The following is a 24,593-nucleotide window of genomic DNA, read 5'->3' on the forward strand; positions in this document are numbered from 1 at the left end:
GAGCTAATATCCAGAATCTACAATGAACTCAAACAAATTTACAAGAAAAAAACAAACAACCCCATCAAAAAGTGGGCGAAGGACATGAACAGACACTTCTCAAAAGAAGACATTTATGCAGCCAAAAAACACATGAAAAAATGCTCACCATCACTGGCCATCAGAGAAATGCAAATCAAAACCACAATGTGATACCATCTCACACCAGTTAGAATGGCAGTCATTAAAAAGTCAGGAAACAACAGTTACTGGAGAGGATGTGGAGAAATAGGAACACTTTTACACAGTTGGTCGGACTGTAAACTAGTTCAACCCTTGTGGAAGTCAGTGTGGCGATTCCTCAGGGATCTAGAACTAGAAATACCATTTGACCCAGCCATCCCATTACTGGGTATATACCCAAGGACTATAAATCATGCCGCTATAAAGACACATGCACACGTATGTTTATAGCGGCAGTATTCACAATAGCAAAGACTTGGAACCAACCCAAATGTCCAACAATGATAGACTGGATTAAGAAAATGTGGCACATATACACCATGGAATACTATGCAGCCATAAAAAATGATGAGTTCATGTCCTTTGTAGGGACATGGATGAAATTGGAAATCCTCATTCTCAGTAAACTATCGCAAGAACAAAAAACCAAACACCGCATGTTCTCACTCATAGGTGAGAATTGAACAATGAGAACACATGGACACAGGAAGGGGAACATCACACTCTGGGGACTGTTGTGGGGTGGGGGGAGGGGGAAGGATAGCTTTAGGAGATATACCTAATGCTAAATGACGAGTTAATGGGTGCAGCACACCAGCATGGCACATGTATACATATGTAACAAACCTGCACATTGTGCACATGTACCCTAAAACTTAAAGTATAATAATAATAAAATAAAATAAAAAAAGCAAATTTAAAATGTGACAAGAACATTCCTAGTTAATTCCCTTTCATTTTTTTAACAGCTTAATTGAAATATAATTCACATATCATATAATTCACCCATTTAAAGTATACAGTCAGTGGTTACTATATTCACAGAATTGTACAACCATTGCTGCGATCAATTTTGTAACATTTTTATCATCCCTAAATGAAGCCCTGTACTCATTTGCAGTTGCTCCTCAACTCTCAGACCTAAGCAACAATTAATTCCCTTTTCTTCTTCATAAATTTGCCTATTCTGGACATTTCGTATAAATGGAATCTTGTAATATGTGGCCTTTTGTGTCTTCGTTCACTTAGCGTAATGATTGTGAGATTCATTCATGTCGTAGCATAAATCAATACTTAATTCTTTTTTATGACTAATAATTCCAATGCATTAATGCATTTTATGTATCTACTCATTAGTTCATGGTCTGGTTATTATAAATAATGCTGCTATGAACATTTGTGTACAAGTTTTTGTGTGAGCATATATATATATTATATATTATATATATATATATATGTTTTTGGTTCTCTTGCTTACATACCTAGGAATAGAATTGCTGGATCACATGGCAACTTTGTAACATTTTGAAGAAGGGCCAAACTTTCCTAAAGTGACTGCACCTTTATACATTCCTAATAGCAATGTATGAGGATTCTGATTCCTCCACATCCTTGCCAAAACTTATCTTTTTTGATTATACCCAGTCTAGTGAAATGGTACTTTATTGTGATTTTGATTTGCATTTCCCTGATGACTAATGATGTTGAGCATTTTTTCATGTGCTTATAGGCCATTCGTATATTTTCTTTACCTTTGGAGAAATGTCTATTTAAAAATACTTTATTGTTTTTAAGTGGGTTATTTGTCTTTTTATGGTTGAGCTATAACAGTACTTTATATATTCTGGATACTAGACCCTTATCAGATACATGATTTTCAAATATTTTGCTCTATTCTGTGAGTTGTCTTTTCATTTTCTTGATGGTGTTCTTTGAAGCACAACAGTTTTTATGAAGTCCAATTTATTTTTTTCTTTAGTTTGTGCTTTGAATAACATATCTAAGAAACTGTCGCCTAAGCCAAGATCATGAAGATTTACTACTTTGTTTTCTTCTAAGACTAGTTTTAGCTCTTACATTTCTATCTATGATCTATTTTGAGTTAATGTTTATGTATGGAATAAAGAAGAGATCCAACTTAATTCTGTTGAATATGTATATACAGTTGTTCCAGAACCATTTGCTGAAAAGGCTTTTCTTTCCCTGTTGAATGATCTTAGCATTCTTATCAAAAATTAGTTATCAATGGATGTATAGCTTTGTTTCTGGACCTTCAGTTCTGTTCAGTTTATCTTTATGCCAGTACCAGGCTGTCATGATTATTATAGCTTTGTAGTAGGTTTTAAAATCAGGAAATATTCATCTTCCAACTTTATTCTTTCTCAAAATTGCTTTGACTATTCTGGGTACCTTTCATTTTCATGAACTTTAGGATGAGCTTGTCAATTTCAGATAGCAAAAAAAGCTATCTGGGATTTTGATAGGGATTGTGTTGAATCTGTAGATCAATTAGGGAGCCATTTTAACAATATTAAACTTCTGATCCATGAACATGGGCTTTCTTTCTATTCATTTAGGTTTCTTTAATTTTTTCCAACAATGTTTTGTAGTTTTCAGTGTGCAAGTCTTACATGACAAAGACTCTGCTTCACCAAATTTTAGACAAGCTCCTCTGAGCACTCTGTTAAACTAGGTCTCATCCTCGGGCTCTGTCCTTGGCCTGCCTAAGGAAGTCTTAGCAAAGAATCCTGCTAATACCCCACCCTTGATCAAGTTCCTTGTCCCCTATATTTGTTATATAAGTCCGGCCAGCTTTTAGCAGGAATCCTGTTAGGCCAGTTTAGAGAGAATCCCCTTGCCCTTGATGCCTCCTCTTAGTAATTTTCCATCCTCTGACCCCCTCACTCTGTTCATTGGCCACAAATCCCCACTGGTCTTGGTTGTGTTAGGAGTTGAGCTCAATCTCTCCCCTCCATTGTGATAGCCTTGACCCCTATTGCAGTAATCTCAAAATCTGCCTTACCATTTTTTAACCAGTGTCAGAATAATTTTTCTTTAACAATATCTCTTCTAACATCCTTCTTGCCTTGTTCCTAAGTATTTTTTTATGCTATTGTAAATGGAATTTTTCTCTTTCATTTTCGGATTGTTCAGTACTAATGTATAGAAATTTTATTGATTTTTATAAATTGGTGTTGTATCATACAACCTTGTTCTCCTTTATTAGTTCTAATAGCTTTTTAATAGTTTCCTTAGGATTTTCTCTATATAGAATCATGCTACTTGCAAATAGAGATAGTTTTAATTCTTCCTTTTCAGTCTGGATGCTTTTCATTTCTTTTTATTGCTTATTTGCCCTAGCTAGAACCTCCAGTATAATGTTGAATAGAAGTGGTAAGAGTGGACATCATTGTCTTATTCCTGCTCTTAGGGAGATCTTGAAGAATCTTCCACAATTAAGTATGAGGTTAGCTGTGGGTTTTTCATAGATGTCCTTTATCAGGTTGAGGAAGTTTCTTTTTCTTATTTGTTGAGTGGTTTTATCATTAAACAGTGTTGGATTTTGTCAATTTTTTTTACATCTATTGAAATGATGGTTTTTGTTCTTTATTAATATGATGTATTATAACAATTGATTTTCAGATATTAAATCAACCTTGTGTTTCTGAAATGAATCCCACTGCATCATGGTGTATAGTCCTTTTTGCATATTATTGGATTCATCCTGCCAGTAGTCTGTTGAGGATTTGTTAAATGTCTGTATTTTTAAGAGTTGTTGGTATATCATTTTCTTTTATTTATTTATTTATTTTATTATTTTTTTTTATTGATCATTCTTGGGTGTTTCTCACAGACGGGGATTTGGCAGGGTCATGGGACAATAGTGGAGGGAAGATCAGCAGATAAACAAGTGAACAAAGGTCTCTGGTTTTCCTAGGCAGAGGACCCTGCGGCCTTCCACAGTGTTTGTGTCCCTGGGTACTTGAGATTAGGGAGTGGTGATGACTCTTAACGAGCATGCTGCCTTCAAGCATCTGTTTAACAAAGCACATCTTGCACCGCCCTTAATCCATTTAACCCTGAGTGGACACAGCACATGTTTCAGAGAGCACAGGGTTGGGGGTAAGGTCATAGATCAACAGGATCCCAAGGCAGAAGAATTTTTCTTAGTACAGAACAAAATGAAAAGTCTCCCATGTCTACTTCTTTCTTCACAGACACAGCAACCATCCGATTTCTCAATCTTTTCCCCACCTTTCCCCCTTTTCTATTCCACAAAACCGCCATTGTCATCATGGCCCGTTCTCAATGAGCTATTGGGTACACCTCCCAGACGGGGCGGCTGCTGGGCGGAGGGGCTCCTCACTTCGCAGACGGGGCGGCTGCCGGGTGGAGGGTCTCCTCACTTCTCAGACAGGGCGGCCGGGCAGCGACGCTCCTCACCTCCCAGAAGGGGCGGCGGGGCAGAGGCGCTCCCCACATCTCAGACGATGGGCGGCCGGGCAGAGACGCTCCTCACTTCCTAGATGGGATGGCGGCTGGGCAGAGACGCTCCTCACTTCCTAGATGGGATGGCGGCCGGGCAGAGACGCTCCTCACTTTCCAGACTGGGCAGCCAGGCAGAGGGGCTCCTCACATCCCAGACGATGGGTGCCCAGGCAGAGACGCTCCTCACTTCCCAGACGGGGTGGCGGCTGGGCAGAGGCTGCAATCTCGGCACTTTGGGAGGCCAAGGCAGGCGGCTGGGAGGTGGAGGTTGCAGCGAGCCGAGATCGCGCCACTGCACTCCAGCCTGGGCACCATTGAGCACTGAGTGAACGAGACTCCGTCTGCAATCCCGGCACCTCGGGAGGCCGAGGCTGGCGGATCACTCGCGGTTAGCAGCTGGAGACCAGCCCGGCCAACACAGCGAAACCCCGTCTCCACCAAAAAAATACGAAAACCAGTCAGGCGTGGCAGCACTCGGCAGGCTGAGGCAGGAGAATCAGGCAGGGAGGTTGCAGTGAGCCGAGATAGCAGTAGTACAGTCCAGCTTCGGCTGGGCATCAGAGGGAGACCGTGGAAAGAGAGGGAGAGGGAGACCGTGGGGAGAGTGAGAGGGGGAGGGGGAGAGGGAGAGGGAGAGCCATTTTCTTTTCTTGTGATGTCTTTGGTTTTGATACCAGGGTAATGCTGGGCTCATAGAATGAGTCAAGAAGTGTTCCCCTTTTCTTCTATTTTGGAAAGATTTGTGAAAGTTTTGTATTAATTCTTGAAATGTTTGGTAGAATTCACCTTTGAAGCCACCTGGGCTTGGGCTTTTCTTTGTGTGAAGCTTTTTTGTTTTTGTTTTTGTTTTTTGAGATGGGGTCTGTCTGTCACCCAGGCTGGAGTGCAGTGACATGATCCTCTCTAATTCCTCTTTCATTCCCTTGGTGGGAGGGTTACCTGCAGCCTTGACCTCCTGGGCTCAGGTAATCTTCCCACCTCAGCCTCCCAAGCAGCTGGGACTGCAGGCATGTGCCACCACACCTGGCTAATTTTTGTTTTTTGGTTTTTTTGTAGAGACAAGGTCTTGCCATGTTGCCCAGGCTAGTCTCAAACTCCTGGGCTCAAGCGATCCACTTGCCTCAGCCTACCAAAGTGCTAGGATTACAGGCATGAGCCTCCATGCCCGGCCTGAAGTTTTAAAATTACTGATTTAGTCTCTATGCTTGCTGTAGCTATTCAGATTTTTTATTTCTTCTTGAGTCTGTTTAGCAGTTTGTATCTTTCTAGGAATTTGTGCATTTCATCTAAGTTACCTAATTTATTTACACACTCCTGTTTATAGAATTCCCCTAAGATCCTCTTCATTTTGTAAGTTTGGTGGTGATGTCTCCTCTTTCATTTCTGATTTTAGTAATGTAAGTTTTTTCTGTTTTACTTGGTCATTCTACGTAAAGGTTTGTCAATTTTATTGATCTTTCTAAAGAACCAACTTCTGGTTTCATAGATTTTTTTTCTATAGTTTTTCTGTTCTCTATTTAATTTGTTCACCCTAATATTTATTTCCTTCCCACTGCTAGCTTTAGATTTAGTTTACCCTTCTTTTCTAGATCCATAAGGTAGAAAGTTAAGTTGTTAGGTTGTTAATTTGAGATCATTTGTCTTAGCTCAGGCTGCCATAACAAAATTCCATAGACGTAGTGACTTAAACAACAGAAATTTATTTTCTCACATTTCTGGAGGCTAGAAGTCCAAGATCACGGTGCCAGTATGGTCAGGTTCTGGTAAGGGCTCTCTTCCTGGCTTGCAGACAGCATCTTCTCTCTCTGTTCTCCCATCAGGCAAGGAAAAGAGAGCTAGCTGTCTAGTGTCTTTTATTTAATTGATACATAATATTTGTACACATTTATGGGGTACGTGTGATATTTTGTTACATGCAAAGACTGTGTAATGATCAAGTCAGGATATATGGGGTGTCCATCAGCTCAAGAATTTATTTCTGTGTGATGGGAACATTTCAAATTCTCTCTTCTAGCTATTTTGAAATATATAATACACTATTGTTAACTTTAGTCACCCTACTCTGCTATCAAACATTAGAACTTATTCCTTCTATCCAACTGTGTGTTTGTACCTATTAACCATCCTCTCATATTCCCTGCTCGGCCCCACATACCCACACCCTTCCTAGCCTCTGGTATCTATTGTGCTATTGTCTACCTCCATGAGATCAACTGTTTTAGTTCCCACATGTGAGTAAGAACATGTGATATTTGTCTTTCCATGCCTGCCTTATATCACTTAACATAATAACCTCCAGTTACATCCATGTTGCTGTAAATGGCATGACTTCATTCTATTTCATGGTCAAATAGTATTCCATTGTGTTTATAAACCACATTTTCTTTATCCATTCATCCATTCATGGACACTTAGGTTGACTCCATATCTTTGCTATTGTGAATAGGGATGCAATAAATATGCAAGTGCAGATATCCCGTCTATACACTGATTTCTTTTCCTTTGCATAAATACCCAGTAGTAGGATTGCTGGATCATATGGTAGTTTAATTTTTAGTTTTTGGGGAAATCTCCACACTGGTTTCCATAGTAGCTGCACTAGTTTACTTTCCCACCAACAGTGTGTAAGTGTTTTTTTTTTTTTTCCTTATACTAGCCAGCATCTGTTATTTTGTATCTTTTTAGTAACCATTCTAACTGGGGTAACATGATATCTCATTTTGGCTTTTATTTGCATTTCTATGATGTTGAGCATTTTTTCATATACCTTTTGGCCATTTGTATGTCTTCTTTTGAGAAATGGCTATTCATGTCCTCTGCCCACTTTTTAAGGGGATTATTTGTATATCTCCTGTTGAGTTCATTATATATTCTGGATATTATTCCCTTATCAAATGAATAGTTTGCAACTATTTTCTCCCATTCAACTGGTTGTCTCTTCACTCTTGATTATTTCCTTTGCTGTGCAAAAGCTTTTTTGTTTAATATAGTCCTATTTGTCTATTTTTCTTTTCGTTACCTGTCCTTTTGAGGTGTTAGCCATAAAATCTTTTCCTAGAGCAGTGTTCTGAAGTGTTTCCCCTATGTTTTCTTCTAGTAGGTTTATAGTTCTGGGTCTGAAATTTAAGTCTTTAATCTATCTTGGTTGATTTTTGTATGTGATGAGAGACAGAGGTCCAGTTTAATTCTTCCACATATGGATATCCAGTTTTCCCAATACCATTTATTGAAGAAAGTGTCCTTTCCCCAGTGTACGTCCTTGGCACCTTTGTTGAAAATCAGTTGCCTATATATGTGTGGCTGTACATACGTGGATCAATGTCTGGCTTTTCTATTCTATTCCATCGACCTTGTGTCTGTTTTTATACCAAACCATGCTGTTTTGGTTACTGTAGCCTTGTAATATGTTTTGAAGTCAGGTAGTGTGATGCCTCCAGCTTTGTTCATTTTGCTCAGGATTGCTTTGGCTATTTGGACTCTTTTTTGGTTCCTGAAATACTAATTTTAGGATTGTTTTTTCTGTTTCTGTGAAAAATGACATTGGTACTTCGATAGAGATTGCATTGAATCTGTAGATTGCTTTGGGCTTATGGTCATTTTAATAATATACATTCTTATGATCCATGACCATAAGATGTCTTTCTGTATCTTTGTGTCATCTTCAGTTTTTTTCATCAGTGTTTTGTAGTTTTACTTGTAGGAGTCTTTCACCTACTCGTTAAATTTATTCTTCAATATTTTATATGTTCATAACTATTATAAATGGGATTACCTTCTTGATTTCATAAAGTTTTATTTCACCAAGTTGATTATTGATGCATAGAAACATTACAGATATTTGTATGTTGATTCTGTATCCTGCAACTTTACTGAATATATTTATCAGATCTAGGAGTTTTTTGGTGGAGTCTTTGGGTCTTTTAGACATAAGATCATATCATCTGCAAAGAGGGATAATTTGACATCCTCTTTTTCAATTTGGATGCCCTTTATTTCTTTCTCTTGCCTGATTGCTCTGGCTAGGACTTCCAGTATTGTGTTGAATAGGAGTAGTGAAACTGGGCTTCCTTCCAGTACTATGTTGAATAGGAGTGGTGAGAGTTTTCCATTTCTTAGAGGAAAGGCTTTTCGTTTTTCCCATTCCGTATGATGTTAGCTGTGGGTTTGTCATAAATGGCCTTTATCATGTTGAGGGATATTCCTTCTATGCCTAGTTTTTTGAGAGTTTTTATCATGAAGAGATGTTGAATTTTTTTTGATACCTTGAACTATATATTTTTATTTGAATATATAAAAGTAGAATATCCTATTTTCCTTTTGAGCTATGTCATCATACTGCTAAAATTATGGATGAAAATGGAAATATTTCAACCTGACCCATTGCAATTTCTATGTTACACATTTGCTCTTTTTTTATTATTATACTTTAAATTCTGGGATACATGTGCAGAATGTGCAGCTTTGTTACATAGGTATACACATGCCATGGTGGTTTGCTGCACCCATTAACCCATCATCTACATTAGGTATTTCTCCTAATGCTATTTCTCCCCTAGCCCCCCTACCCCCAACAGGCCCCAGTGTGTGATGTTCCCCTCCCTGTGTCCATGTGTTCTCATTGTTCAACTCCCACTTATGAGTGAGAACACGTGGTGTTTGGTTTTCTGTTCCTTTCTTACCTTGCTGAGAATGATGGTTTCCAGCTTCATCCATGTCCCTGCAAAGGACATGAACTCCTCCTTTTTTATGGCTGCATAGTATTCCATCGTGTATATGTGCCACATTTTCTTTATCCAGTCTATCATTGTTGGGCATTTGGGTTGGTTCCAAGTCTTTGCTATTGTGAACAGTGCTGCAATAAACATACGTGTGCATGTGTCTTTATAGTAAAATGATTTATAATCCTTTGGGTATATACCCAATAATGGGATTGCTGGGTCAAATGGTATTTCTGGTTCTAGATCCTTGAGGAATCGCCACACTGTCTTTGACAATGGTTGAACTAATTTACACTTCCACCAACAGTGTAAAAGCATTCCTATTGCTCCACATCCTCTCCAGCATCTGTTCTTTCCTGACTTGTTAATGATTGCCATTTAATGGTCGCCATTCTTACTGGTGTGAGAGGATATCTCATTATGGTTTTGATTTGCATTTCTCTAATGACCCGTGATGATGAGCTTTTTTTTCATATGTTTATTGGCCACATAAATGTCTTCTTTTGAGAAGTGTCTTTTCATATCCTTCACACACTTTTTGATGGGGTTGTTTTTTTCTTGTAAATTTGTTTAAGTTCCTTGTAGATTCCGGATATTAGCCCTTTGTCAGATGGATAGATTGCAAAAATTTTTTCCCATTCTGTAGGTTGCCTGTTCACTCTGATGATAGTTTCTTTTGCTGTGCAGAAGCTCTTTGCTTTAATTAGATCCCATTTGTCAATTTTGGCTTTTGTTGCCATTGCTTTTGGTGTTTTAGTCATGAAATCTTTGCCCATACCTATGTCCTGAATGGTATTGCCCAGGTTTTCTTCTAGGGATTTTATGGTTTTAAGTCTTATGTTTAAGTCTTTAATCCATCTTGAGTTAATTTTTGTATAAGGTGTAAGGAAGGGGGCCAGTTTCAGTTTTCTGAATATGGCTAGCCAGTTTTCCCAACACCATTTATTAAATAGGGAATCCTTTCCCCATTGCTTGTTTTTGTCAGGTTTGTCAAAGATCAGATGGTTGTAGATGTGTAGCGTTATTTCTGAGGCCTCTGTTCTGTTCCATTGGTCTATGTATCTGTTTTGGTACCAATACCATGCTGTTTTGGTTACTGTAGCCTTGTAGTATAATTTGAAGTCAGGTAGCGTGATGTCTCCAGCTTTGTTCTTCTTGCTTAGGATTGTCTTGGCTATGTGGGCTCTTTTTTGGTTCCAAATGAAATTTAAAGTAGTGTTTTTCTAATTCTGTGAAGAAAGTCAATGGTAGCTGGATGGGGATAGCATTGAATCTATAAATTACTTTGGGCAGTTTGGCCATATTCTTCCTATCCATGAGCATGGAATGTTTTTCCATTCATTTGTGTCCTCTCTTATTTCCTTGAGCAGTGGTTTGTCATTCTCCTTGAAGAGGTCCTTCACATCCCCTGTAAGTTGTATTTCTAGGTATTTTATTCTCTTTGTAGCAATTGTGAATGGGAGTTCACTCATGATTTGGCTCTCTGTTTGTCTTTTATTGGTGTATAGGAATGCTTGTGATTTTTGCACATTGATTTTGCATTCTGATACTTTGCTGAAGTTGCTTATCAGCTTAAGGAGATTTTGGGCTGAGACAATGGGGTTTTCTAAATATACAATCATGTCATCTGCAAAGAGAGACAATTTGACTTCCTCTCTTCCTATTTGAATACCCTTTATTTCTTTCTCTTGCCTGATTGCCCTGGACAGAACTTCCAATACTATGTTGAATAGGAGTGGTGAGGGAGGGCATCCTTGTCTTGTGCTGGTTTTCAAAGGGAATACTTCCAGCTTTTGCCCATTCAGTATGATATTGGATGTGGGTTTGTCATAAATAGTTCTTATTATTTTGAGATGCATTCCATCAATACCTAGTTTATTGAGAGTTTTTAGCATAAAGCGGTGTTGAATTTTATCGAAGGCCTTTTCTGCATCTATTGAGATAATCATGTGGTTTTTGTCATTGGTTCTTTTTCTGTGATGGATTACGTTTATTGATTTGCGTATGTTGAACCAGTCTTGCATCCCAGTGATGAAGCTGACCTGATCGTGGTGGATAAGCTTTTTGATGTGCTGATGGGTTCGATTTGCCAGTATTTTATTGAGGATTTTCGCATCAGTGTTCATCAGGGATATTGGCCTGAAATTTTCCTTTTTGGTTGTGTCTCTGCCAGGCTTTGGTATCAGGATGATGCTGGCCTCATAAAATGAGTTAGGGAGGAGTCCCTCTTCTTCTGTTGTTTGGAATAGTTTCAGAAGGAATGGTACCAGCTCCTCTTTATACCTCTGGTGGAATTCAGCTGTGAATCCTTCTGGTCCTGGACCTTTTTTGTTTGGTAGGCTATTAATTACTGCCTCAAGTTCAGAACTTGTTATTGTTGTATTCAGGGATTTGACTTCTTCCTGGTTCAGTCTTGGGAGGGTGTATGTGTCCAGGAATTTATCCATTTCTTCCAGATTTTCTAGTTTACTTGCATAGAGGTGTTTATAGTATTCTCTGATGGTAGTTTGTATTTCTGTGGGATCAGTGGTGATACCCCCTTTATCATTTTTTATTGTTTCTATTTGATTCTTCTCTCTTTTCTCCTTTATTAGTCTCGCTAGCAGTCTATCAATTTTGTTAATCTTTTCAAAAAACCAGCTCCTGGATTCATTGATTCTTTTTGAAGGGTTTTTCATGTCTCTTTCTCCTTCAGTTCTGCTCTGATCTTAGTTATTTCTTGTCTTCTGCTACCTTTGAATTTGTTTGCTCTTGCTTCTCTAGTTCTTTTAATTGTGATGTTAGGGTGTTGACTTTAAATCTTTCCCACTTTTTGCTGTGGGCATTTAGTGCTATAAATTTCCCTCTAAATACTGCTTTAGCTGTGTCCCAGAGATTCTGGTACGTTGTGTCTTTATTCTCATTGGTTTCAAAAAACTTATTTATTTCTGCCTTAATTTTGTTATTTACCCAGTAGTCATTCAGGAACAGGTTGTTCATTTTCCATGTAGTTGTGCAGTTTTGAGTGAGTTTCTTAATCCTGAGTTCTAATTTGATGGCACTGTGGTCTGAGAGACTGTTGGTTACGATTTCCATTTTTTGCATTTGCTGAGGAGTGTTTTACTTCCAATTATGTGATCAACTTTAGAATAAGTGCAATGTGGTGCTGAGAAGAATGTATATTCTGTTGATTTGGCTTGGAGAGTACTGTAGATGTCTATTAGGTCCTCTTGGTCCAGAGCTGAGTTCAAGTCCTGAATATCCTTGTTAATATTCTGTCTCAATCTAATATTGACAGTGGGTGTTAAAGTCTCCTACTATTATTGTGTGGGAGTCTGAGTCTCTTTGTAGGTCTGTAAGAACTTGCTTTATGAATCTGGGTGCTCCTGTATTGGGTGCATATATATTTAGGATAGTTAGCTCTTCTTGTTGCATTGATCCCTTTACCATTATGTAATGCCCTTTTTTGTCTTTTTTGATCTTTGTTGGTTTAAAGTCTGTTTTATCAGAGACTAGGATTGCAGCCACTGCTTTTTTTTGCTTTCCATTTGCTTAGTAAATAATCCTCTATCCCTTTATTTTGAGCCTGTGTGTGTCTTTGCACATGAGATGGGTCTCCTGAATGCAGCACATGGGTGGGTCTTGATTCTTTATTCAATTTGCCAGTCTGTGTCTTTTATTTGGGGCATTTACCCCATTTACATTTAAGGTTAATATTGTTATGTGTGAATTTGATCCTGTGATTATAATGCTAGTTGGTTATTTTGCTTGTTAGTCGATATAGTTTCTTCATAGTGTTGATGGTCTTTACAGTTTGATATGTTTTTGCAGTGGCTGGTACTGGTTTTTCCTTTCCATATTTAGTGCTTCCTTCAGGACCTCTTGTAAGGCAGGCCTGGTGGTGACAAAATCTCTCAGCATTTGCATGTCTGTAAAGGATTTTATTTCTCCTTCACTTATAAAGCTTAGTTTGGTTGGATATGAAATTCTGGGTTGAAAATTCTTTTCTTTAAGAATGTTGAATATTCGCCCCCAGTCTCTTCTGGCTTGTAGGGTTTCTGTCGAGAGATCTGCTGTTAGTCTGATGGGCTTCCCTTTGTGGGTAGCCTGACCTTTCTCTCTGGCTGCCCTTAACATTTTTTCCTGCATTTCATCCTTGGTGAATCTGACGATTATGTGTCTTGGAGTTGCTCTTCTCGAGGAGTATCTTTGTGGTGTTCTCTGTATTTCCCAAATTTGAATGTTGACCTATCTTGCTAGGTTGGGGAAGTTCTCCTGGTTAATATCCTAAAGAATGTTTTCCAACTTGGTTCTGTTCTCCCTGTCACTTTCAAGCACACCAATCAAACATAGGTTTGGTCTTTTCATATAGTCCCATATGTCTTGGAGCCTTTGTTCATTCCTTTTCATTATTTTTTCTCTAATCTTGTCTTCACACTTTATTTCATTAAGTTGATCTACAATCTCTGATATCCTTTCTTCCACCTGATCAGTTCGGCTATTGATACTTTTGTATGCTTCACAAAGTTCTCGTGCCGTGTTTTTCAGTCCCATCAGGTCATTTATGTTCTTCTCTAAACTGGCTATTCTAGTTAGCAATTCCTCTAACCTTTTTTCAAGGTCCTTAGTTTCCTTGCATGGGGTTAGAACATTCTCCTTTAGCTTGGAGGAGTTTGTTATTATCCACCTTCTGAAGCCTGCTTCTGTCAATTTGTCAAACTCATTCTCCGTCCAGTTTGTTCTCTTGGAATTTTCAGCCTTTTTGCACTGGTTTTTCCTCATCTTCATGGATTTATCTACCTTTGGTCTTTGATGTTGGTGACCTTTGGATGGGGTTTCTATGTGGACATCCTTTTTGTTGATGTTGATGCTATTCCTTTCTGTTTGTTAGTTTTCCTTCTAACAGGCCTCTCTGCTGCAGGTCTGCTGGAGTTTGTTGGAGGTCCACTCCAGACCCAGTTTGCCTGGGTATCACCAGCGGAGGCTGCAGAACAGCAAAGATTGCTGCCTGTTCCTTCCTCTGGAAGCTTCGTCCCAGAGGGGCACCTGCCAGATGCCAGCCAGAGCTCTCCTGTATGAGATGTCTGTCGACTCCTGCTGGGAGGTATCTTCCAGTCAGGAGGCATGGAGCTCAGGGACCCACTTGAGGAGGCAGTCTATACTTTAGCAGAGCTTGAGCACTGTGCTGGGATTGCCGCTGCTCTCTTCCGAACTGGCAGGCAGGAACGTTTAAGTCTGCTGAAACTGAGTCCACAGCCACCCCTTCCCCCAGGTGCTCGGTCCCAAGGAGATGGGAGTTTTATCTATAAGCCTCTGGCTGGGGCTGCTGCCTTTCTTTCAGAGATGCGCTGCCCAGAGAGGAGGAATCTAGAGAGGCAGTCTGGCTACAGGGACTTTGCGGAGCTGCGGTGGGCTCTCCCCGGTTCAAACTTCCTGGCCACTCTGTTTACACAGTGAGGGGAAAACTGCCTACTCAAGCCTCAGTAATGGCAGACGCCCCTCCCTCCACCAAGCTCGAGTGTCCCAGGTCGACTTCAGACTGTTGTGCTGGCAATGAGAATTTCAAGCCAGTGGATCTTAGCCTGCTGGGCTCCGTGGGGGTGGAATATACTGAGCTAGACCACTTGCCTCCCTGGCTTCAGCCCCTTTCCAGGCGAGTGAACAGTTATGTCTCACTGGCATTCCAGGCGCCACTGGGGTATGAAAAAAAAACTCCTGCAGCTAGCTCGGTGTCTGCCCAAATGGCCGCCCAGTTTTGTGCTTGAAACCCAGGTCCCTGGTGGCATAGGCACCCAAGGGAATCTCCTGGTCTGCAGATTGCGAAGACTGTGGGAAAAGCATAGTATCTGGGCCAGAGTGCACCATTCCTCACGGCACGGTCCCTCAAGGCTTCCCTTGGTTAGGGGAGGGAGTTCCCCGACCCCTTGTGCTTCCTGGATGAGGCAACGCCCCACCCTGCTTCGGCTCACCCTCCGTGGGCTGCACCCACTGTCTAACCAGTCCCAATGAGATGAGCCGGGTACCTCAGTTGGAAATGCAGAAATTACCCACCTTCTGCATTGATTTCACTGGGAGCTGCAGACCAGAGCTGTTCCTATTCGGTCATCTTGCCAACCACCCTGAGATGTTGAATTTTATCAAATGCTTTTTTTATCAGATGCTTTCTCTGCATCTATTAAGGTGATCATGTGGCTTTTATTCTCTATTCTATTGATGGAATGTTTCATGTTTATTGATTTGCATGCATTGAATCATCATTGCATCCCTGGGATAAATCCCACTTGATCATGGTGTATTATCTTTTTGATGTGATGTTTGATTTGGTTTGCTAGTATTTCGTTGAGGATTTTTGCATCTGTGATCATCAGGGTTGTTGGCCTGCAGTTTTGTTTTTTTGTTGAGTCCTTATCAGGTTTTGGTATCAGGGTAATGCTGGCCTTATAGAATGAGTAGGGAGAATTCCCTCCTCTTGAATTTTTTGGCATAGTTTGAGAAGTGATATTAGTTCTTCTCTGTAAGTTTCATGGAGTTCTCCAGTGAAGCCAGCTGATTCTGGGCATTGTTTTGGTTTTGTTGGGAGACTTTATTACTGATTATACTTTATTACTGATTCAATCCCATTACTCATTACTGGCTTGTTCAGGTTTTCTATTTCTTTCTGATTCAGTCTTGGTAGGTTGCATGTGTCCTGGGATTTATCCATTTCTTCTGGGTTTTCAAGTTTATTAGCATATAGTTGTTAATAGTATTTCTATGGTCACTTCTTCCAATTTTTAGATTTGCTTTAATATGCAAGGACTTTTTCTTGAGGATATATCTATGGTGTTGGTTGGGCAGGGCACTTAGACTTTGATTATGGGTACATTCAGTAGTGTAGTCTGTATAATTTCTTCAGCTATAAACAGCATCATCAACCATGTCTGTATTTTTCTTAGTGGCTTAGGGTGTAGTTGTTATGGAGGCTGTGGTGAAGTTTTGATGGGCATGGGGATTTCAGGTGGGCTAGTCCTTGTTTTCGAGTGGTGTCACCAGTGGGTGAAGCATGCCTGTCCTTTGGCCCCAGGACAGTGTATTCATTAAGTTATATTACTTTTTTAAAAAAAGTTTATTTTATTCTACAATGGAAAACTTGACCTTTTCTACTTTTCCAATATTTTCAGATCTGGTAGCTCAGCGAGGAGAAAGATTGGAATTATTGATTGACAAAACAGAAAATCTTGTGGATTCTGTAAGTATGGAATCTGATAATATGGAGTCTGATGTAAAGTGGAGAAACTATGGATGATGGCTAACATAATTGGGAAATACCTTAAATTCAAATATTTGGTGGTTTTTTTTTCTTTCTCATTTCCATTATGTGATTACTTTGTAATAATGAGGATAACAATGAGGCATAGAAAAGAAACATCATCCCCTAATAGCCATTAAGGTAGCTTTGGTTTGGAAAACATACTCAGTATACAGAAACAATTTTCTAAAGCTTTGGATTGAGGCCTATATAATTTAGCACCTCAACTGCATGTAACAGTCTGTTCCCTTTACAAATTTGTAAAACATGAAACAAATGTGCAAGCCGTTTGTGACCCAGTATGAATCTTGAAAACTGGACAATTCACTTTTTTGCTTACACTGATAGTTTCATCTTGCCTTGTATCAATCAAGAGACATCGATTGGAAAGCGCCAATAAGCCTTAAAGGAGACAATGTGTCCTTGTGAGCTGCTTATACTATGGTTCCGTATGTCCTCACATTTTCAATGCAGTTACTGTGGATGAAAGTTTTAAGGAAAGATGACAGATATATGGTGAACAGAAGGAGGGCAGAGATCAGCTACAATTTGGGTCTACACAATTATAAATGTAAATGTACAGTGCAGGTTTACACCTTGAAAGAAAACAGTGATTGATTATGTTCGTTGTGACTGACAGCTGGATTGTAGTGGTTAAGAACACAGGCTCTAGTATCAGGTTGCCTGGATTTGAATCCCACCTCTGCTACTTACTAGTTGTGTGACCTTAGGCAAATGACTTAACCTCTTTGTGCCTCAGTCATCATCTTCTGTAAAATGAAGATGTACCCACTTCAGAGCATTTTAAGGATTAAATCAGATAATGCATGTAAAGTGCCTAACACAGTATTTGATACATAGTAAGAGCTATTTAAATGTTCATCATTATTGTTAATTTTACAGGGACATCTATTAGCAGCAGGTTTTAGTATATACAGTCTACTATCAGGTTTTCTAGGAGTTTATAAACAGTTTTTTCATCAAAGCATGTGGTAGGTGGAGGAAGGATGCTACCATACAGGAAGTCAAAACACCTGGGTTCTAGATCTCACTTTGTGACCCATTGCTGGGGAGCAAAGAAAACAGAGAAGTATCTGATTCCAGATCTGCAGACCAATTTCTTTGATACTTCCAGGCTGTCTCTTAGTTATTCTTAATTCTTGAGGATTACCCTGCTTAGGGGGAATGGTCTGTCTTTGACCAATAGTAGTATGATCTGTACTTTACAAATAAAAGTCTTAATTTTGTTGACTTCATGACTGAAAACAGAAGGTACTAATGAACTAACAGGTATCTCTCTTTATGGTAGAATAACATACGTGCAGCAAATTGTATCAAGTGTACAACTTTTAAGTGTATAGCTCAATTATTTTTTATATATATCTATACCCATGTAACCACCACCCAGATCTAGATAGAAAACATTACCAACACCCCAGAAGGCTGCCTCATACCCCTTCCAGTTAATAATCCCCAATAGACGTAATTATGTTTCTGACTTATATCACCACAGATAGTGTTTTGCCTGTTCTTAAAATTTATTTGTGTCTGGCCTCTTTCACTCACTGTTATGCCTGTGAAATTCATCCACGTTTTTTATTATAGTAATCACTTATTCTTTTTTATTGTTTTATATTATTCCATTATACAAATCTACCACAATTTGTTTATCCGTTCTTCTCTGTGGGGCTTTATTTCTGGATTCTCTATTTTGTTCCATTGGTCAGTTTGTCTACCTTTATGCCAGTACCACACTGTGTTGATTAGTATAACTTAATAGAATTCTTGAAATTAAGTAGTGTAAGTCTTCCAACTATATTCTTGTTGTCCAATATTGTCTTCACTCTTTTAGGTGCTTTGCATTTCCATATATGTTTTAGAATAAGCTTGTTTTCCATCTCTTGACCCCACAACAATGTGTATCTTTGTGACTGCATTTAATATATAGGTCACTTTAGGGGACATTGGTATCTTGACAGTATAGAGTTTTTCGGTCCATGAACGTGACATATCTCTGCTTTTGCTTAGGATTTAAAAATTTTTCTCAGCAGTATTTTTTAGTTTTTGGTGTACAGGTCTTGCACATATTTGTTAAATTTACCCTTGAGAATATCATGCTTTTGTATTGTGTAACAAATTTTTAAATTTTGTTTCTAATTCTTTATTGCTAGTATATGGAAATAAAGTTGGTTATTGTATATTGACCTTGTTTGTATTCTGCAACCTTAGAAAAATTCATTTACCAGTTCTGGTTACTGTTTTGTACATTCCTGCCTTTTATTTTCCTTCCCTTATTCTGGCTAGAACCTTCTACACAATACTGAATACAAGTGATAACAGTGAACATCCTTGCCTATTGACCATCTTGTGGGGAAAAATTCAATACTTTTTGAAAAAAATAAATTCAGTGTTAAGTTTGTGGTTAACTGTAGATTTTTTGTAGGTACCCTTTAATAGGTGGAAGAATTCCCTTTAATTCCTCATTTGAGAGTTGTATTCATGATTTTATCAAATGCTTTTTCTCCATTTATTGAGATCTTTGGTTTTTCTCCTTTATTCAGTTAGTATGGCAAATTACATTGATTTTTCAGTGTTAAACCAACTTTGCATTCCTGCAAGGTCATGACTTACTACCCTTCTTATATAACACTTTATTGGATTTGCTATTGTTTTGTTCAGGAATTTGGCATCTATGTTTATAAGAGATAGTGGTCTGTAATTTATTTTTCTCTTTAGGTTTTGGTATCAGGAATATGCTGGCCTCATTAAACAAGTTGGGAAATCTTACCTCTCTATCTTCTGAGTTTGGGTACTATTGGTATTATCTGTCTTAGATGTTTGGAAGAATTTACTAGTAAAGCAGATTGGGCCTCGAGTTTTCTTCGTTGGAAAATTTAAAATCTGCCATCTTGCTGTTTGTTTCCTATTTATACCATCTAGTCTTTGTTCCCTTTTTGTTCTGCCTTCCATTGGATTTAGTACATTTGTTATTCCATTATGTCTCCTTTGTCAGTTTATTAGCTATAGCTCCATTCTGTCATTTTCTGATTGCTTTAGGGTTTACAGTATGTCTTTGATTTATAATCTCCCTTAAAGTGGCATTTTTCCACTTCATGAATAGATAAGAACCTTATAATAGTATACTTCTAGCTGTTTCTTCTTGGCCTTTATGCTATTGTTGACATATTTTTATTTACACATGTATTAAAAACTTCATAATACATTGTTGTTGTTTTTGTTTAAAGAGTTGATTATCTTTTAAAGAGATTTAAATAATAAGGGAAGTCTTTTCTGTTTACCCATGCAGCTACCATTTCAGTGCTCTTAATTCTTTTGTGTAGGCCGAGTTTCTATCTGATGTTATTTTCTTTCTGCCTGTATGCTTTAATTTAACATATAATCTTCCATTGTAGTTCAAGTGTGTAGGTCTACTGGAAATGAATTCTTTCAGGTTTGGTATGTCTGAGAAGTTTTTATTTCACTTCCTTTTTTTTTTTGAAAGACATTTTCACTGAGTATAGAATTCTAGGTCAGTGATTTTTCTTTCTTTTAATACTTGATGAACGGTGGTTCATCACTGTCTTTTACATTGTTTCTGACAAGAATTCTGCTGTCATTCTTACATACATAAAGTGTATTTTTTTTTCTTCTGGATGCTTTAAAGATTTTCTCTTTATCATTGGTTTTAAGAAATTTGATTATAATATATATGCCTTGGTATATATTTCTTTATGTTTCTTTGGCTTTGAGTTTGTTGTAGTTTTCATCAAATTATGAAAATGTTTAGCTCTTTCTAGGCTTCCAGTGACATCTGTATTAAGCCACTTGAAGCTGTCCCACAACTCACTGATGCTTTGTTCATTTTTAAGTCTTTTTTCCACTATGTTTCATTTAGAATAGTTTCTATTGCTATGTCTTCAAGTTTACTTACCTTTTCTTCTGCAGTTCGCAATCTGCTGTTTCTGTCCTGTGTATGTTTCATCTTTACAGGTTTGTTTTGGATCTTTTTTATATCTTCCATGTGTCTCCTTAACATGTGCATACTTTCCTCTACCTTGAGTATATGAAGTATATTTATAATTGAAGTGCTTATTCCACTTACATGTAATGCAAATTTTGATAGAGTTAGGTGTAGGTATCTTGCTCTTTGTTTTTTATTTGCCGCATCCCTGTCCTCTTCTTTTTTATTTTGATTACTCAAGTACTTTTTAAATTGTTTTTTAACCATCTCTATTTGTTTTTTAACACTTCTATTGAGAGATAACTCACAGACCATACAAATTGCCCATTTAAAGGGTACACTTCAGTGGAATTTAGTATATTACATTATTAAAATTGTGGTAAAATATGTATAGCATAAAATTTTGCCATTTTAACCTTTTTAAAGTGCACAATTCAGTGATGTTAATTACATCCACAATGTTGTGCATCCATCACTACTAGCTATTTCCAAAACTTTTTTATCACCCCTTAACAAAAACTCTGTAACCATTAAGTAATAATAACTCCCCATTCCCCTTACTCTCAGCCCCTGGTAACTCTAATCTACTTTCTGTCTCTGAATTTGCCTGTTCTAGATATGTCATATAAGTGGGATCATACAAAATTTGCCCTTTTGTGTCTGGCTTATTTCACTAAGCATAATAGTTTATTGCTTAAAAAAAAATGCTAACAATCACCTGAGCCTTCAGTGAGCCTTAATCTTTTTGCTGGTGGAGGGTCTCACCTTGATGTTGATGGCTACTGACTGATCGATCAGGCTGGTGGTTGCTGAAGGTTGTGGTGGCTGTGGCAATTTCTTAAAATAAGACAACAGTGAAGTTTACCACATTGATTGACTCTTTCACAAAAGATTTCTCTGTAGCATGTGTTGCTATTTGATAGCAATTTACTGGCAATAGAACTTCTTTCAAAATTGGAGTCAATCCTCTCAAACCCTGCTACTGCTTTATCAGCTGAGTTGATGTAATTTTCTAAATCTTTTGTTGTCATTTCAACAGTGTTCACAGCATCTTCACCAGGAATAGTTGCCATCTCAAGAAACCACTTTCCTTGCCCATGCATAAGAAACAACTCCTCATTCATTAAAGTTTTATCAAGAAACTGCAGCAGTTCAGTCATGTCTTCAGGCTCCAGTTCTAATTCTAGTTCTCTTCTATTTCTACCACATCTGCAGTTACTCACTCCACTGAAGTCTTGAACCCCTCAAAGTAATTTGTGAGGGTTGTAATCAGTTTCTTCCAAACACCTGTTAATGTTTATATTTTGACTTCCTCCCACGAATCATGAATGTTCTTAATGGCATCTAGAATGGTGAATCCTTTCTAGAAGGTCTTCAGTTTACTTTGCCCAGATCCATCAGAGGAATCATTATCTATGGCAGCTATACTAAATGTTTTTCTTAAATAATAAGACTTGAAAGTTGAAATCACTCCTTGATTCATGGGCAGCAGAATGGATGTTGTATTAGCAGGTGTGAACCCCAAAAGTCTGAGACAGGTCTCAGTTGATTTAGAAAGTTTATTTTGCCAAAGTTGAGAGCGCACACCCGTGACACAGCCTCAGGAGGTCCTGACAACATGTGCCCAAGGTGGTCAAAGCCCAGTTTGGTTTTATACATTCTAGGGAGACGTGAGACATCAGTCAACATATGCAAGATGAACATTGGTTTGGCCTGGAAAGGCGGAACAACTCGAAGCAAAGGCGGGAAGGCTCGAAGTGGGGAGGGGGCCTCCAGGTCTTAGATAGATAAGAGACAAATGGTTCTATTCTTTTGAGTTTCTGATGAGCCTCTCCAAAGGAGGCAATCAGATACGCATTTATCTCAGTGAGCAGAGGGGTGACTTTGAATAGAATGGGAGGCAGGTTGGCCATAAGCAGTTCCCAGCTTGACTTTTCCCTTTAGCTTAGTGATTTGGAGGCCCCAAGATTTATTTTCCTTTCACACAGGCATGAAAACGACATTTATCTCCTCGTAAGTCTCCATCAGAGCTCTTGAGTGACTAGGTTCATTGTCAATGAGCAGTAATACTTTGAAAGGAATCTTTTCTTTTTGAGCAGCAGATCTCCACAGATCTTCTGTACACCATCCTGTAAACAGATGTGCTATCTTCCAGGTTTGTTGTTCCATTTCAAGAGCACAGGCAGAGTATATTTAGCATAATTCTTACGGGCCCTAGATTTTCAGAATGGTAAATTACCATTGGCTTCAGCTTAAAGTCATCAGCTGCATTGGTCCCTAATAAAAGTCAGCTTATCCTTTGAAGCTTTGAAGCCAGTCATTGGCTTCTCTCTATGAAAGTCCTAGATGGCATCTTCTTCCAAAAGAAGGGTGTTTTGTTTACATTGAAAAATCTGTTGTTTAGTATAGCCACCTTTATCAATGATCTTAGCTAGGTCTCCTGGATAACTTACTGTGGCTTCTCTCTCAGCACTTGCTGCTTCACCTTGTACTTTTATGTTATAGAGATGGCTTCTTTCCTTAAACCTCATGAACCAACTTCTGCTAGCTTTAAACTTTTCTTCTGCACCTTCCTCGCCTCTCTCAGCCTTCATAGAGTTGAAGAGTTAGGGCCTTGCTCTGTATTAGGCTTTGGCCTAAGGAAATGTTATAGCTGGTTTAATCTTCTATCCAGACCCCTAAAACATTCTCCATATCAGCAGTAAGTCTGTTTTGCTTTCTTATATGTGTGTTCACTGGAGTAGCACTCCTGATTTCCTTCAAGAACTGTTCTTTGCATTCACAATTTGGTTAACTGTTTGTCACAGGACACCTAGCTTTAGGCCCATCTCAGCTTTCGACATGCCTTACTCACTAAGCTTAATTATTTTTATCTTTTGATTTAAAGCAAGGGATGTGTGACTTTTCCTTTCACTTGAATACATAGATGCCATTGTAAGGTTATTAATTGGCCAAATTTCAATATTGTGTCTCGGCAAATAGGGAGGCCTGAGAGGGAGAGAGATAAGAGAATAGCTGGTCAGTGAACAGTTAGAACACACAACATTTATCCGTTAGCTCCGTCACCTTATATAGGCACAGTTTATGGCACCCGAAAACAATCACAATAGTAACATCAGAGGTCACAGATCGTCATAACAGATAGAATGAAAATAATGAAAAGTTTGAAATGTTATAAGAATTACCAAAACACAGACATGAGGCGACCACATGCTGTTAGAAAAATGGTGCTGCCGCATGTTCTCACTCCTAAGTGGGAGTTGAACAATGAGAACACATGGACACAGTGAGGGGAACATCACACACTGGGGCCTGTCGGGGAGTGGGGGCTAGGGGAGGGATAGCATTAGGAGAAATACCTAATGTAGATAACGGGTTGATGGGTACAGCAAACCACCATGTCACGTGTATACCTGTGTAAGAAACCTGCACGTTCTGCACATGTATCCTAGAACTTAAAGTATAATAATAATAATAAAAAGAAACAAAAAGTGCAGGCCAAGCAGGAAAAAAAAAAAACAAACCAGAAAAATGGTGCTGATAGTCTCATCATGGGGTTTCCACAGACCTTCGATTTGCCAAAAAAAAAAAAAAAAAAAAAAAAAAATCCATGAAGTGCGATAATGTGAAGTACAATAAAAGGGGATATGCCTGTAATTCTTTCTGTGTCCTTTATTGTTTTCCTGCAGTTCTGTTTCAGTGTACGATTTTGTTTGCTTCAAACTGAAGAAGTTCTTTTATTGTTTCTTATAATGTTGATCTACTGATGAGAGATTCTCTAAGCTTTTGTCTGAAAATCTGTTTCATCATTTTTTTAAAGAATACTTTCTTTGCATAGAGTTTTTTAGTTTTTCACAATGGCAGTTTTTTTTTTTTTTTAAAGTGAGTGCTTTAAAAATGCCATTCCATTTTTCTTTGGCTTTCATATGTTCTCAAAGAGATTGTCATTTCTCTTAGTCTTACTTGAAAAATAATGATTCTTACCCCACCTTTGGCTTTTGTTGTTGTTGTTGTTGTTGTTTGTTTTGTTTTTTTAAGACAGAGTCTCTCTCTCTCACCCAGGCTGGAGTGCAGTGGCACGATCACAGCTTACTGTTGCCTCCACCTCCCAGGCTCAAGTGATCCTCCTGCCTTGCCTCAGCCTCCCAAGTAGGAG

At 38.5% G+C, this 24,593-nt stretch overlaps 1 protein-coding gene across 7 annotated transcripts in view, besides 1 other annotated feature; it reads left to right on the plus strand.

The window, feature by feature from the left end:
* Nucleotides 1-24,593, plus strand: part of VAMP7 (vesicle associated membrane protein 7) — a 62,425-nt gene that overhangs the window by 22,120 nt on the left and 15,712 nt on the right. For 5 of the 7 annotated variants that reach the window (NR_033714.2, NR_033715.2, XM_017030063.2 and 2 more), the window contains one exon: nucleotides 16,349-16,416. The exons of the other annotated variants lie outside the window; for them this stretch is intronic. Coding sequence is in view for 3 of the 5 variants with exons in the window: in XM_017030063.2 (XP_016885552.1) it covers nucleotides 16,349-16,416 (68 nt within the window). In the remaining 2 variants the exon portion in view is untranslated. The remainder of the gene's footprint in view (nucleotides 1-16,348; nucleotides 16,417-24,593) is intronic. 7 annotated transcript variants of the gene reach the window in all.
* Nucleotides 4,350-4,901: an enhancer, noted in NCBI's record as "H3K27ac hESC enhancer chrX:155137478-155138029 (GRCh37/hg19 assembly coordinates)". NCBI's record gives its function as "activates a minimal SCP1, AML or CMV promoter by ChIP-STARR-seq in primed H9 embryonic stem cells {active_cell/tissue: H9 hESC(primed)}" and the evidence as "EXISTENCE:reporter gene assay evidence [ECO:0000049][PMID:30033119]".

Source organism: Homo sapiens, chromosome Y (assembly GCF_000001405.40).
Source record: "Homo sapiens chromosome Y, GRCh38.p14 Primary Assembly".
Taxonomy (NCBI): Eukaryota; Metazoa; Chordata; class Mammalia; order Primates; family Hominidae; genus Homo; species Homo sapiens.